General features: G+C 39.4%; 2 long non-coding RNA genes across 3 annotated transcripts in view; one reads left to right on the forward strand and one right to left on the reverse strand.

Moving 5' to 3' along the window:
* LOC124903780 (uncharacterized) overlaps window positions 1–1,425 on the forward strand; it is a 161,687-nt gene extending 160,262 nt beyond the window's left edge. Inside the window, exon 4 of the long non-coding RNA XR_007065224.1 lies at window positions 689–1,425. This is a non-coding gene — a long non-coding RNA (uncharacterized LOC124903780). The remainder of the gene's footprint in view (window positions 1–688) is intronic.
* LINC00922 (long intergenic non-protein coding RNA 922) overlaps window positions 1–16,752 on the reverse strand; it is a 291,796-nt gene that overhangs the window by 107,804 nt on the left and 167,240 nt on the right. The gene's annotated exons all lie outside the window — the stretch shown is intronic.

Here is a 16,752-nt window from a genome sequence, read left to right on the forward strand (position 1 = left end):
TCTCTACCAGTTCTTTGAGTAGGACCCCACTTGGCACAGCTTGGGTCCCATGGACATCTCTGGACAATTCACTCTGGCTAGGAGGATGTTTATTATGATGGAGCCAGTCTCGTTCCAATGTCATCCCTGTAGTTGAGTAAATGAGTGAACCAGTTTCCTGATCAGGGAAAGGAACGACCCTCAGAGAAAAGCAACAGCCACTATATAAGCATTCTACATGGCCTCATGGAAGCCTAAATATTGGCCCAGATTTTCATTTAAGCTTCCCAGTGTCCAAAAAATGCAGGAAATACAATTGTTTACATGATTCTTGATTTCTGTAACACAACAGGAAAGAGGGGCTTGGGGGAGAGTAGAAAAGAAGAGCTGGTATTTCAAGGGAAGCTCAGCTTTTCCTTGCATTCATACCAGAGATCTCTCCCACCTGGTGGTTCCTGAGTTAGGGAACCATAGAATACGTGAGTGAAGTCAGAATGTGGTATTCTAATTAGCTCTGGCCCCAAACATGGCTTAGAATTTTATTCTTTATGCTGAGCATGGACATACAATTGTTTCTCCTCACCTCTCAGTCCTCTACTTGATCACAGTGGGGTCTTGGCAGCCTGCTTTTGCCAGGAATCAGATCTATCCTTGTTGCAAACCACAGCAAAAATAAACAAACGAAACGACCTGTGTCCTTTGCCCACAGCAGGGAACAGATGTCCACATCCTGGACTCAGGAATTTGCGCAGAAGGAGACACTCCAAGCAGTGCTCCGACACACAAGAGGCCCCAGGAATTCGGAGACCTGAGTAACCCCAAGGAAGCCCTGGCCGCACTCAGGCTGCTGTTTTCAGGCAAAACTAAACAACTCATATCAGTCCAAGCACAAAGGATACTCTCCAAGGATCATGGACATGGAGGTTTGGATTGATTTGCATTCTTTTGCCAAGGAAAGCATTAACTGGCCCTTTGGGAAGCCCACCTAGTCAAAGGCTAAAAGCTTTATTGTGCCTGGAGGACAATCTGCACTTCCGCTCCTTCGGGACTCACCTACTCTCGTGGTAATTCCATGCCAAACCACAACCTCCTAGGAAATGGATCTGACTCTGAGTCAGAGATGCGTTCCAAGTCCTAGGGCTATTGGCCCCGCCAACTTATATCCTCACCCCTTGACTGCCATTTCTCTCTTTTGCCAATACTGACACTAATTGTAGAGTTCCCCAACTCCACGCTGCCACTTGCTTATTTCGTTATTATTGCTCAACCTGTGTGACTATTTTGGAGGACAGAGATTCCTAGGTCTCTGTATCTGGATCTTTCTCTAAGCTGGCAAGTAACCTGCTTTATCTAACCTTCCTACTGTCAGTGACCCAAGCAGTAGAAGTCACCTCCCTAATTGTCTTCTATGAGTTGGAAACCAAATAAAAAGATTTATTAGAAATATGTATAGAGTTAGAGCCTGTGTGTACTGACTGAAGTTCTAAAGGCTCCTCCCATAGTGTGTATGTGTGTGCATATGTGTGTGCGTGTGTGTGTGTGCATCTGTGCGTGTGTTTAAAGGGCTTTTTGAAAACCATCTCTGCCTATTGCAAGCCCTTCCCTCTTATTTCTAATTTCAGGAATACATTTTGGTAAAGTTGCTGGAAGTCTGGCCTGTAGGTAAGTGGGGCATCATTGTTCATAAAAAGACACCAAGTATCCTATGAATCCCAGGCTCTGCATCTCTACAATGACTGGTGGACGTGTTTTGTGAACAGACTGGGAACTCAAATGAATTGTTCCCATGTTCCAGTGAGAAACATCATCACCCTGCTCCCAAACAACATACTATGTGCAAAAGAGAGACAAAGACCTGAAGTTTCTCTTTCCGAGGGTATATTTGTTATGGATTTGGAGAGAGCCACAACCTTTCCTACACATTATTGCTCAGATGAGCTTCCTGCATTCAGAAGAAGGAAGTGGGGGTATGGCAGGTAGTTGCAGAGGTAGGTTTATGCCCAACTGGAATGGGAGTCATCAAATGGCACAGCTGTCCTGGGGCTCCAAACAGCTTCTCATCAGGATTCCCTGGAACTCCCCCAGCTTTGCCTCAGACGTTCCAAGCTCAGTTTTGTATATGCAGTTACATTTCCGCTGCCTTCCTCGGGGGACCAGCTTTAAGTAAAGAGGATGAGAATGTGAAGTTACAGAGCTCAGCTTGCCAATACTCCACCAGAGGAAATCACAGGGCAGAATGACAAGATCACTGCTTGGGGCTTAAGTACAAAGAAACAAGGCTTCCTGCCTGCGCCACTCCCACTCCCAAGGCCCATGCGCCACATGCACACGGTGTGACTTAAGGCAAATTGCTTAATATTTTCAGACCTGTTTGTTCCTCTGTCAAATGAGAATAGCAATGCCCAGCCTCTAGCCAGCTGGGGGCTACAAGAATTAAGCACAAAATGCCAAACACAGTGTCTCATATGTAGTCAGCACTCAATCTTTCAAAATAAAAAGAACAATAATTATATGTCTGCCTAGCTACTTTCAGAGTCAGCTCAGATGGTCCTCTCTCCATAAACCTCTGGTAATTTCTCCACTTGAACGTCTGTGCTCATTCTCTGGTTTTCTTAGCGCTTTGCAGGACCCCAGACAGACACAGTCACATTTTGCTTTGTATTTTTGTTTCTTGGTGTTTGGGTGTGCACGTGTGTGTGTGTCCTGGGGTCTGGGTGTGCATCTATGTTTCTTCTTGGATCTTTTTAGTTGTTAAATCTACTTGTTCCAGATAGGAAATGTGACTTCATCTCTCTCTCTCCATGTGCTCTGTACACAGAGAGGACTTAATAATTTTGTGACAAGTGTATTTATTTACCACCATGTGAGAGCTATTATTGTGTTCCAGGATACTTACTAGGTACTTTATACATGGTATTTTATTTAATCTCCATAACAGCTCTAGGAGATAGATTTTATTAACTGCATCCTTTTAATGACTATTTATATAGTCAATAAGACTATAATGACTTATACTCCTACTGAGCAGATAAGGAAACTGAAGCTCCGAGGAGTTAATAGGACTTGCTCAGTGTTGCACAACTACCAAGTGGTGGCCCTGGGAAGTCTTCTGTGACTCTAATCTAGGCTCTAAAGTCTAATTATCCACTGGCTGTTAAAGTGTGGCCCTCACACAGGCAGCAGCAGCATCACATGGGAAGTGGAAGTGAGAAATGCACATTCTTGGGCCCTAGCTCAGATCTACTGAATCAGAAACTCTGGCAGTGGATTTCAGTCCTCCAGGTGACTCTAATGCACGCTCAGGTTTGAGAAAGGATCCCTGCCCCTAATCCATCAAGCCAGGCCAGGAGAGTGCAATCGTAGAGTCCATGTGTCCTGCCTCTTGAATCCCTGAGTTGAAATCCCAGATCTTTCACTTCTTAACTATACAACTCTGGGAATGGTATTTATCCTTCCTCTGCCATAATCCTCTTATGTGTAAAATGTGAATAATGACAGGACAAACGTTGAGTTGCCAGAGGGATGGAAAATATAAATGCATATAAGACATTTAATCCAACACCTGGCACGCAGTATAAGGACTTGCTAAATGCTATTTGTCATTATTATGATTTAATCATTTTAGATTACTTTTCCAGTGTATTTCCTCACCATCCCACCCAAAGTCTGAACAGTTTTGTTTGTTTGTTTTTTAATAGAAGGAAAGTAACTTGGGTCTGGCCTTGATGAGGCTCCTGAATTTTCCTGCTTGTGATACGGTGGTGTTCTGAAGACTGGCAAGTACCTTTCTTGTTTCTCTGCTGCTATCCTGAAAATGTGACTTGCGTGCATTTGGGAGAAAGGTTTGCTGCCTGGGACAGTGCAACACAAGTTTAGAAGGCAGACTTGAATCTGTCTGCACATTTGGTCAGGTGAGCTTGGGCATGCTCTTTAACATCTGAAACTTTCCTTCTCCTTTTATGCAAAAAAGGAGAAAATCACCTGGGTGCAGGGTGGAGGAGGTAGCACTAATATTTACTGAGCATTTACTATGTCCCAAACATTTCTTCTTCTCAGTGCTTTATATGTGTTCTCTCATGTGAGCCTACAGTTACCTGTGAGATAGATAGTAACATAATCTGGACCTCACAAACAAACTGCCACAGAGAAGTAACTTGTTGAAAGCCACACAAATAAGATTGGAATCCAGGAAATCTGGCTTCTCGGCCACCATTCTTTTTTTTTTTTTTAGATGGAGTCTGGCTCTGTCACCCAGGCTGGAGTGCAGTGGCGAGATCTCGGCTCACTGCAAGCTCCGCCTCCCGGTTTCATGCCATTCTCCTGCTTCAGCCTCCCGAGTAGCTGGGGCTACAGGCGCGCGCCACCACGCCCAACTAATTTTTTGTATTTTTAGTAGAGACAAGGTTTCACCATCTTGGCCAGGATGGTCTTGATTCTTGACCTTGTGATCCACCTGCCTCGGCCTCCCAAAGTGCTGGGATCACAGGCGTGAGCCACTGTGCCTGTCAGCCACCATTCTTAACCATAACTGCCTCAGTATGTTGTTGAGAGAAATAACTAAAAAGATGAACGTTAAACACAAAACAGTGCCAGGCACATGGACGTGCTTATTACATGTAGCTGAAACAACAAATCATCATCATCCTCAGTAGCAATATCAATAATATGGATGGAAGGGCAGTTTTTCCATTTGTTACAGGTGGAATTTAATCTCCTGAGAACCAGGTAAAGAGATCTTCATTTCACCCATAAGTCCAATCAGTACTTGGTGAAGGATTCCTTCTTTCTTCCTCACCTGTCCTCCCCCTAGTGAACCACTGGTGTCATTAAGAAACAGTTAACACACATCATCTTTCTTAGCTATTTTTGCTGCCTGCCATCTGGAGTGCCTCGGCTCTCTTGGATGTGTTCACACTAAATCAGCAGATGAAAGCATTAACTAATTTCTCCATTTCAGATCCGCTCATTTGGGTAACGATGACCTTTAAAACGAGTGTCATCCACCTCATAACCATGTGCCATATGTTGGATGTCGGATAATAAAGCATATTTAAACTTAGCAGGCTCCATAACACCTTATGGCTGGTTGGTGATTAACTAATAACTTCCTTACCAGCATCTTCCCGGTTAAGGCTGACAAAGCGTTTTGTTTGCCACTTAGTGTCCGTTTCCATTGGAACCTTTTCAAACATACTCCTAGAAGACTTGATTGTGCACTGAAGCTTTCTCGTTCACTCTTGGCATATGGGGCCAGCACATTTTCTCCCCCAGATATTTTATTTCATGCAAAAACATAATACCAGACACTGATCCCTGAGTGCCAGACATTGATCCCTGAGTGCCAAGTGCCAAGATCCCATTTACTGTTCACAAAAGCTCCACAGGACAAGGGTTTCTGTGCCCATTTATGTACAGATGAGAGTGAGGGTCAAAGAAACCGAGCAATTAGCGCAAGTTCATGGAAGGGCTGAGATCTGAACCCAGATCTCTTTCCCTAAATGCCATGACTGTATTTTTACTTATTTTTGTTTTTGCTAAAATGCAAGATACCATTTTGGGTGTTTTGTTTTCCTCCCATTCAGGGAATCAAGCTATGCCCTAGTTCATGTCTTCATCAGAATGGGAAGCTTTAAAAGTTAATTCCCAGCCAGGCGCGGTGGCTCACTCCTGTAATCCCAGCACTTTGGGAGGCCGAGTGTATCGGATCACGAGGTCAGGAGTTCGAGACCAGCCTGACGAACATGGTGAAACCCTGACTCTACTAAAAATACAAAAATTAGCCGGGCATTTTGTAATTACGGCCCACCTATAATCCCAGCTACTGGGGAGGCTGAGGCAGAAGAATCGCTTGAACCCGGGAGGTGGAGGTTACAGTGAGCCAAGATTGCACCACTGCCCTCCAGCCTGGGCGACAGAGTGAGACTCTGTCTCGGAAAAAAAAAAAAAAAAGTTAATTCCCAATATTTCATCCAGTCTCCTCCCAGTTTTACCCTTCCATCACTCTGATGGTTCACAGAGATTCTGAAAGTCACCTTGCCTAGGACTAGTGTCCCTTCCTGTAGCTACTCATTCACAACCTCGACCAGTAAGCCACGCTGGACTCTTCTGTGCCCCATGCAATTCCTCAAAAATCTTGTCATTCTATTATATGAACCACAGTAAGAAACACAGATTACACTACTCACCTTTTCTGAACCTTACATTCCTACAGAATATATCTGATCCCAAGGAAAGTAGCTTTCAGTCTTTGGAGGAGGTTTTCAAAAGTGATTACCCAGAATGAAAGGGAATAATGGGAAAAAAGATGTATGTAAATACTTGGTTATTCACGGATGTTGTGACTGAGGAGATGGTTCTCCATCCCTAGCAGAGGATTAATTCTGAAGTTTTTTTTTTTTTTTTTCTATCTAAGTCCCATCCAAGTCAGTGGGACTATTAGGTCCCTTGTGATACATATTAACACTTGGTGAGCATCCTACCTTTGGAACTCTAAATGCCTCAACACACTTGTTATTCTCTTCCTCAAGCTTTTCTATATACATCCCCACAATTGGTTTTACATAAATCGGTATGTAAGACCTGCCACCACCAACAAGATAACGTATGCATCAATCTATATCTTTCCATATTTTTCTCCGTGCTCTTAAAGTGCTGTATAGGCTAACCTGATGGTGTGCTTTTCCTTAGTTGTAATTTGTTTTACAATAATGGCTATTATACACACGTTGTTAAACTTCACTATACTCATTCATTTGAATAATTATTTTTTTCATATTGTGAATATGCCACAATTTATACACCTGTTCACTGATCAGTGGGTATTCTCTTTCCCATCCCCTACTCCCATCATGAGCATTATATATAGGTGCTTTGATTTCCAGGCTCTTGATTCCCAGAAATGAGATTATTACCTCAAAGAATAAATGTTTTTAAAGTTAAATTGCTACTGCTAGATTGTTTTCCAAAGGCAGAAGTTCTTTGAATTTCCGCCAGCAATACTTGAAGTAAACTTTCCCCATATCAAGCAGCCGAAATGGCTATTTCAGTCTGATGGAGGTAAAGTAGTACTTCATTGTTACCTGAATTTTCATTCCGTCATGACTAGTGAATGGAGCACTTTTAAGATATATTTGTTAGCCATTTTGATTTGCACTTCTGTAAATCATATTTTTTGTCCAGTCTTCCTGTTGTACTCTTCGTTTTTTTCTTGGCAACATATAGAAGTATTTGCATACTACAGACATTACGATTTATTATCAATGATGCAATTTGATTTTTCCATCTCTATTAATGTTTATTGGCTTTGTTTCTGCTTTTTGGTTTTTATTGACATACGTAGACTTTACCTTTTAACTTCTGTATTTTCATTATTGATTAAGAATGTGCTACCTTCTAGATTGTAAATGTAGTTTCCTGTACTTTCTGGCAAAATTCTTATTGCTTTTTTGTTGTTGTTTTAAATATAACTCTTTAGTCAAATCTTCTTACATGGTCCTTCTTTGTCATATTTTTTGGATAATTTCAGACATGTATTCTTTGGGATAAAATTTAAGATTTAGAAATTAATCATAGAAACTAGACTAAATATACCTACTGAATTTTACAAATATATTTTCAGCACAACTGGATAATACATATCATTTTTTCTCTTAATTTGTGATACAAATGATTATGATAATAGATTGGTAATATTATACCATCTTTGAATTCCTGAAATATATCTAACTTGACCAATAATTTTATTTTATAAATCTTGGAAAAATTAATTGTAATGCTTACATTTTTAAATTAAAGAGCAAGTTATTTATTTCCATTAGTTTCAATTGCATTTTCTCTTTCAATAAGATACAAGCACTTTCTTGAGAGTTTCTCTGCTATCTTGTACAAGGTATTCCTACATTTGTTTACAATATTAAAAATGAATTATTTTTCCCATTTTAATTTATATATACTGTTTTCTAAAACAGCAGAAGCTATTCTTTCCTTTCATTTTTCACATTATAAAACCTGTTCAATAATTCTGTTTTTTATTCTCTTGTATTTTAAACTACTTTTCAATGAAAGTTATGTTATACCTCTCATTCTTCAATATTTATAATAGCACTTAATTTTCTTGTCATATTGCATATGCTAAAACATTCAAGAGAGAAAAGGTAATAATGGTGATGACAAATATCGCCGTGAAGTTCATGATTTGATTTTGAAGTTGTCTGAATATTTTTCTCTTTGGGATGTATTTGCTACCATTTTTAGTAAACATTATTTATCACATATAGCTGATTTATTTTTCTTATTCCACTGAATTTAGAAAATATATTTTCAAAATGTGGGGATATGATATAATAGATCTTGCTAAACTTACTAATATATTTGATTATGACAACAGACTATTAATGATATATCTAATATATTTCTATCTTTTTAATTATTTGAACTATCCTTGTTAGTTTTAAAGTTAAAAAGTTATGCTTGCTCCATAAAGCAAACTGACATACTTTCCATCTTCTTTCGTAGCCTGAGTTTATTTAAATAACATAAAAATTTTCTGTTCTTCAAAGCCCTTTAATCTTGGTACATTTTTGAATTATATTCACCTTCCCAATTTCTTCTATGTGTTCCTGGGATGGCTATCTTGTGTGTGTGACTGTGTGTATATGTATGTTAACTTTCTCATTTCTACCTTTTAATTTTTTTGTTCTTTTATTAGTTATTGAGGTTATGTCAAAAGACAAAATTACAAGATATTTAGTCATAGATTTAATTGGCTTTTATTTGTGATTCACAAATCAGGGCGGCCTCTATTCTACAAAGTAGAATGAGAACACCCTCTGGGAAATGGCAAAACAGTGGATTTTATAAAGCGGGAGCAAGGATACAAAACAATAGAAAAAAAAGTTGATTGGTTAGCATCAAGTTACTTTAGGTTACTTTTAGGTAAGGGATAAAGCTGAGGACACTTTCTTATTATAGTGCCTCAGGCAGACTAAAATCTGTTGTTTTCGGGGAACACTGATCTGTTTGGGGATCTATCTTTTCTTTCAAGTTTCAGTTTTATTATGTGGCATTTAGCATGAGTGACTTCGGTTTGGTCTGGTCTGTTGGGGTCAAATGCAAGACCTCCTTTCAAAACAATGGCCTCCTGGCCAGGCACGGTGGCTCACACCTGTAATCCCAGAGCTCTGGGAGGCTGAGGCGGGAGGATCATGTGAGGCCAGGAGTTCAAGACCAGCCTAGGCAACATGGTGAAACCCTGTTGTTATTAAAAATACAAAAATTAGCCAGGCATGCTGGCACATGCCTGTAGTCCTAGCTTCTTGGGAAGCTGAGGCACGAGATTTGCTTGAACCCAGGAGGCAGAAGTTGCAGTGAGCAGAGATCACACCACTGTACTCCAATCTGAGTGACAGAGTGAGAGACTGTCTCAAAAAAAAAAAAAGTCCTCCCATAATTTTTGTTTAACAGTTATTACTTAGTCTCCTTTGGTGTTTTTTTTCCACTAATAATTAATTAAGTTTGGCGAGAAAGCTTTTACTGCGTCCTATAATTTTCGTTATAAAGTATTTTTTTCGTTGTTATCCAGATAATCTGCGTTTTTACTTTTATATCTTCTCTGATTTTAGTATCATCAAGGAGGGTATCATTTAATTTCCAAGAAGCTAACATTTTGAATATTGATTGATTTCTTCATCTTAGGATAAGAAACAGAGAATATGACCTTTTTTTAACTTTAAGAAATGCTGCTTATAAATATCCCTATGATGGGCCAAGCATGGTGGCTCACACCTGTAATCCCAGCACTTTGGGAGGCCAAGGTAGGTCGATCACCTGAGGTCGGGAGTTTGAGACCAGCCTAACCAACATGGAGAAACACCGTCTTTACTAAAAATACAAAATTAGCCATTCATGGTGGTGCATGCCTGTAATCCCAGCTACTTTGTGAGCCTGAGGCAGGAGAATCGTTTGAACCCGGGAAGTGGAGGTTGCGGTGAGCTGAGATCGCACCACTGCACTCCAGCCTGGGCAAGAAGAGTGAAACTCTGTCAAAAAAAAAAAAAAAAAAAAAAAGTCCCCATGATGAAGAGCAATGTATATTCTCTATTTTCAGAGTGATGTGTTTATCTGTCTATCTAATCTATTTATCTACCTACTTTACATTTATTTATATCCGTCTGTAGCGTATTTGTTATCTATTGATCTATTTTTGGTTTCATTATCAAAGCATATGTGGGAAATCACCTCCTTTCTGACTCTCAACTATATCCAACCTTGGAGGCAGGGAAGACTTAAGCCACTCATTTAGCTCATAGCACTCAAGGACTTGGGGGTTACCAGTTGCATTCAACTGGGTTGATGTCAGCTCTTCTCCCTGAGATCCTCAGAGCACTAAGTACCAGCTCCTGTCAGTTCTTGTTGATTTCTTATTCATGCCCTGGACCTATTGCTAGTTCCAAGCAGAGAAAGCTCAGCACTAATCTTTTCTCCATGCTGCAAGAATTCCAACAAAAGCAAGGCCTCATGTATATCCAGCTGCCTATGGATCCAGACACTCTACCACTCAGGTGTAGCCTATAAAATTAGAGAGGAACTGAATGGCACTTATATTCCCCAAATCCCCTATAAGTCCATGTCATTAATAACTTTTCTAAGTGAGGTTAAAAGAGAACTACCCAGGACTCTGAGGACTATAACCTGCTTGAGTCCAGCCGTAGCACAGTGGGAACCTCAGTGGAGCTACTGTATAGGTCAAGATAAGGGATCCAGTGGAGAAGGCAGGATGGGAAGACTAGCCAGGCGATAACATCAGTAAGAGGAGTCCAGCAACCCAGGTCACAGTGTCTATGGGAATGGGACAACCTGGAGTGGGAATCAATTATTGCTGATGTCCAAAAATCCTTTGTGGGAGAAGGTGGCACAGTACTAGTCCCAAATTGCTTCTCCAGTTACAGCAGATTATATGCCTGGAGACATAAAGTGATGGGGACAGTACAGCAAATATCCTTTTGTTCCTGACTTTTCTTGACCACTTGTAAAATATATTCCATATTAAAACCAACAGGAATATAGAAAGGAGCAGTAACAGAATTTGCATGAAACATCATTTTAAAACAAGAAGTGTTAAAGAAATTTGGTCATTTCAGTGGACCATTTGGGGCTGTTCTGCCAGATTTCCCAGGCTAAGACTTTTCATTTACTCTCCAAGAGGCGTGAAGAATTTTGAGGAATCCTCATGTTGCTCACCTGCCTTGAAAACCTCATGTAAAATTCTGTCAAAAGGCCCTGTAGGTTTTTTGTTGTAGAATTTATCACAACCTGAACTTACCTAGTATATTAATCTCTTTAGTTCATGGTTTGCTTCTTCCAATTTAAATGTAAGCTCCAGGTAGTCAGGGACTTGCCTGTCTTGTGCACGGAAACACAAAAAGATAATTTCATCCATAACATTGGCCCATTTACCCATCCTGGAGTTCAGGTGAAATGCCTCTGCTGTACACAATCTTCACAACTCTAAAAATGACATTGTCATGGCCATTGTTAGCAGCAAAGGCATTTGGTAAGCAGGCATAAGAATATCATCCAGTGACTGGGATAAAGATAAAGGAAGTTAACCAAGCATGGCAGGATCAGGACTCCCATCCTGGAGTGTACCAATTCACCTGCTTGTAGTTCTCAGTAGGCTTTTCTTAAGATTGACTTGGAGACTAGGTGAGGCCAGTCTTGCTTTAGTTCCTTAATACCTCTACAGAGAGCCTTGAAGCAAAAACAGACTGACACTAGGCATTAGTCCAAGGCCCTGCTGGGATTTGATAGGGCATGAGGGAAGGGAACCTTGATGGCTAACAGGGCCTGCCTATTCCCTCCTACACTGGTTCATAAAAGGAAATGCCACCTAACTTCTGGTGAGAACTGGCTTCCTCCCCACAGCCTCATCTGAAGTATTTAATTAAATCCAATCATACTGAAATGCTGCATTTGAGATTCCACTTTTTACTTCTTCACTCCGTTTCTGGTATAAAGGCGCCCTGGGTTTTATTTAGTCAAATGTCTAACTAGAAATTGCACTTTTCAGAAAAGATAAAAAATAATGATCATCTAATTCCCTATTTTCCACAGAGCCACTTAACTTTCAAGTGCTTAGTAGTAATCAATAAAAGCCTTTCATCACAAAACCCAATAAGCAAGATCAAATTCAAGGGAAAAGCTCAGAAGAGAGCAATGGTTGGCACCCAAACCATTTTATGAGGTCAGAATCACTTTTCTACATGAAGCTAATTTCTACTCATGGCCCAAAGCCATTTCACCTCTTGCACTCTGACTTCTTACTTTCCAAAGCTGACTCCACTGGGCCTGCTAAGAACACAGGTGCTGCTATGAACAGCATCCAGAGAAAACCTCACACTGGAATTGATAGCAGCCATGCTGTGATCCCAGCTCGATGCCCAATTTGAGGGTTACTTCTCGTTCAGGAGAACCTGCAGGCATTGGTTTAGAGAGAGAAGCAGCAGCTGTGAAAGACAATGTGAAGATTCAGAGTCTTTCTGATGGTGTTAAGATGGCATTTGGACCCAGGATTTGGGGGCTTATTCCCTAGACCCTCTCATTTTCCCCCAACCTCTCCAAGGAAGACAAACAAATGGGAAATAGGAGCAAACAAAAGTGGAAGTGTCCTCATTGTCAGCTGGGCTTGAGTCCCACATCTCAGTACAAAAAGTTCTGGTGAGTTGGGTTGTGGTTCAGGGTCAATAATGAATGCCAAAAAGCTGCCTATTCCACCAAGTCCCAACCCAGCTTTCGAACCTTCTCATCCTGCATTCAGACCCCTGAGAAGACAGGACAATGAGAGAAAAAGACCCTGGGTCAACTTGCTGCTCTCACCTCATGACTTTAAAAGAAAGAACACTATGGACATCAGAGAGATACACATTCTTAACACAGGCAGCCATACCCTTGAACGAGTGCCATCCAATCAGGTAATAAGAATTTGCCTATTGATGTTAGGATTCAACTATAACCTCTATGCAAATAACTTTTCTTAAATATAGGTAGCACTTGATGGATACTTATTAATGGATGAGAGAGAGATTACATATATAGATAAATATTCCTCTCATATACTACTTTAAAGCTAAATTGGAAATATTTTTTCACAAGCAAAAAAAACAAAAATTTATTGAAACACATCTGAAACACAATTCATCATTAAATAGATTTCTTTGTATATTATATTTACAAGATACTATCAAAGGTTGTGGAATTATGCCCTAAATAAGAGACCCTCTAACTGTAGGATCAGAAAAAATATATGTAGGTAAAATCTGTTACAATATACATACTGTCACCAAATGAACATGCAAATAGCCCACAGTTGAAGGTCAGATGCCAATATAATATGAAAAGCAATATAGATACTTGGAGAATTTTTTTAAGTTTATTCTCACAGAATTCAGGAATGGGTTATTGAGAATTGTAATACAAAAGACTTGAAAATTATACTAGGTCTTAAGCTAGTTGGAACTGTTTTCTTCTTCAAATAAGGTCTAGAAATCAACAGAAGAGGAAGTAAGCTATGTCCCAATACCTCATACCCAGAAGCTCATCTTGTTTATGACAGAAGAAGCCCATGACTGTGTTGAACTTATCCTATGTTTGCCATTGAGTTCAAAACCCCAGCCTTTGCTGAAGAGGTGGTGGGCTGCATTTCAGCACCTCTCTTAGATGATCAGAACATCCCTGATGCAAATCCACCACAAGCACTAGAATTGGTTTGGAAGCACTTCACTGGTTTCTCTCTGAACTTGAGCCTATGCACCAGATAACCAACATTTTTCACAAAATTGGCACCTCACAAAGTGAAACTCTGGGAATCCCAATTGTAAGAAACCAGAACTATTGGGCTCTCTGACCTCATTAACATATTTACAGCAGTGAGGTTGTCAGTTCCTTAATAATTGCAAAACTTCACGTCACCAGCCTTCCCATGCCCACACCAGACACCAACCAGATGTCCTTGTTCTGACAAATGGCTGTAAAATTGGACTCAGCTGTCTGTAAAGAAGACTTCTATTCCTGGGGCTTTGCCTTGTTCGTGGGCACCTCCTCCCGGTCCTTCCATGTGTCAGACATTTGTTAAGCAAAAAATAAATGAATAAACCAATGAATTACCTTAAAGTCAGTAGGAAGGGCGGAATTCATGGGAAACAAAAAAGAAAGAAAGTGTCCCTTTCTCAGAAAGATGTAGGCCTTTTATTTTGCAGAAGCCGAAGCTGGATGACTTGGTTTTGTAACTGGGCTATACAGTTTCCTTCACACACCATAAAGGACTCAAGTCTCACCAGATCTTATTTTGACTTGAAATGTTTCATGATAGGTTTATGGTATTAATTTCCTCCTGTTATATGCATGGCCCTTATGTGCGTTTTCTTCAGAAGATAAATCAACTTGCTCGGGTGAGACAGACGAGTGTCGTGTATGCGACTTTAAGAAATAATCCTCAACAAACAAACCATAAGGGATTGTGGTCCTCCGTGGAATATCGATTCTGCCACGTTTTAATGCTTAGAGCCACCAGAACACATAAGTAATCTGCTTTTTAAAATAAAAGAGTTTTAATTAAATGATTTCGCAGATCCTTATTGCTGACACCGTCACTTCTATTTCTAATGGATTTTGAGACTTGTTCAGAACTTAATCCTGTTAATAAGATTCGATTTTCTTTTTGCCTTAATAGTGTACTTTGAAATACTTATGATGAAGCCAGGGCATATTTGGTGCGCAGTACTGCTGCAGTTCTGTGTGTAATTTTGGCAAATGAGACTAAGAAGAGAATGACTGGAGAGAGAATGGAGATAACATGTGGAAAGACTGACTCCTCTGCAATTTAGAAAAGAAAATAGGTTGCCGTTTCCTTCTGTATGTCTAGTTCAATCTTGCTCAATCTGTGATGCATGTATTACAAGCAAGGGCCTTTAACCTAAACGGTACCAGCCAACTCCTTCTAAAAAATCTGGCTATTTAATAACTGCATAAATAGCTGTACACTTGATTAAAAAGAAACATAATTAATTGGCATAAAGCCACCCTGCTTGTTCTCCAGATTTTCTTTTGGCGAAATTTTCCTAGTGAGCTTTAATATTCTTTTCTTTTTAAAACCCTTTTTGCCTACCTTAGAGATATAAACTCTATGGCTCTTGAATAGAAACCAGAAACAAATGTGTTTTATTCATTCTTTTGTCATTGATATGCTATTAAGAATCTATTCTGTACAAGAAACTAAAGAGCTTAAAATCCAACCAAAATTTAATTTGGCAATTTTAGAAAAATAGTTTAAAGGGAAGCATGCCCATTGAGGGCTGCTTTAAGCAAAGAAGAGATAGTGTTTGTTCAGCAGATATTCAATGCCATCTATTCCAAGCCACCTATGTATTGACCCTGAAGACATATAGAAATTTGCAATGTGGGCACATGGGGCAAGGAGATAAGTAACCAGGGCACAGATCAGAAGGCAACGTAATGTCATAATAGAGGCAGGCATTGAGGATGTACCTGCATTTAAGGATGCAGTGTGGAAAGCTAATATAAATGAAGATGGTAAGGCTCTTGCATGCCAAGCTAGGAAAACATGGGCTCTCTCCTCTAGACCGTGAGAAATGATGCATTTTGGTAGAGAGGGCAGTAGGAGAAATTTATTGTCATGGCTGGTACTTGAAAACTCCAGTCAAAATTTTGAATGAGAGAATATTTTCTGATACTTTAAAAATACCATTCGCTAACTTTCCCAGAATTATAATATCTGGTTATTGTTGATGCTCTATTGAACTGAAAACTTTCATTAATATTTGTGGTTTCATTTTATAAAATTATCATAACTGATGGATTTACAGTTCTGAAACAGTAACCAAATTTTAATAATGAAGCCATTAATACATACCTTGGCTTGAGGGTATGATATTTGTGACAATGCAATATTTGCTCTGAAAGTAGCAATCCCCAAACTAATATATTTATATATCTCTGTAAGTTGCACAAATGTCTCCCCAGCTAGCAACGCATTGTATTGTCTTGACAATCGGAGTTCTTTCACCAATGTTGTTTATTTCTTCCTCTTTGCAAGGAAAGAAAAAGATGTTTAAAATATATTAAAAAATTAATTATCAAGACGATCTTGAGACACATAAAAATTAATTTAAGAAGGAATTTCAGTTTCCAAAGCTCACTATTTCTGGTATTTTTCTGCAAAGGCTGTGAGTCCAGTGTGTGTGTTTCCTGAGACTCAAAGCAGCATTTACATTTAAATGAAAATGCAGACATACATGTTTGACAAAGACCATATACTTATGCTCCTTAAAACCATTCTTTCATAAAAGGAACAGAAAACACCCTGCTATGCCAATATACCAATTTATTCTTTAAGAAAAATAGCATATTGTGCATCTGTTGGGGATTATATATATATATATATATATATATATATATATATATATATATATATAAAATACATTTTTTTGTTGGATCCATATATTTCCTGAGAATCAGCCTCTTGAAGAAATAAATAGATGAGGGCTGTGTTCTTTTAATTATTGAAAGGTAAAACCCAATAAAACTTGAATGTTTCTCTTGTTCACACCCTACACCTCCCACCTCCATCATTTTTGTTTTCATGAAACTGAGACCCATGTGGTCCAGTGTCTTAGCCTAAATTATGCACAAAATGCCTGAGCTGGGCTTTGAAATTAAATCTCTTAATTCCTTACCAAGTGTTCACTTTTGACATGTTTT

This window comes from Homo sapiens, chromosome 16, assembly GCF_000001405.40.
Source record: "Homo sapiens chromosome 16, GRCh38.p14 Primary Assembly".
NCBI classification, from domain to species: Eukaryota; Metazoa; Chordata; class Mammalia; order Primates; family Hominidae; genus Homo; species Homo sapiens.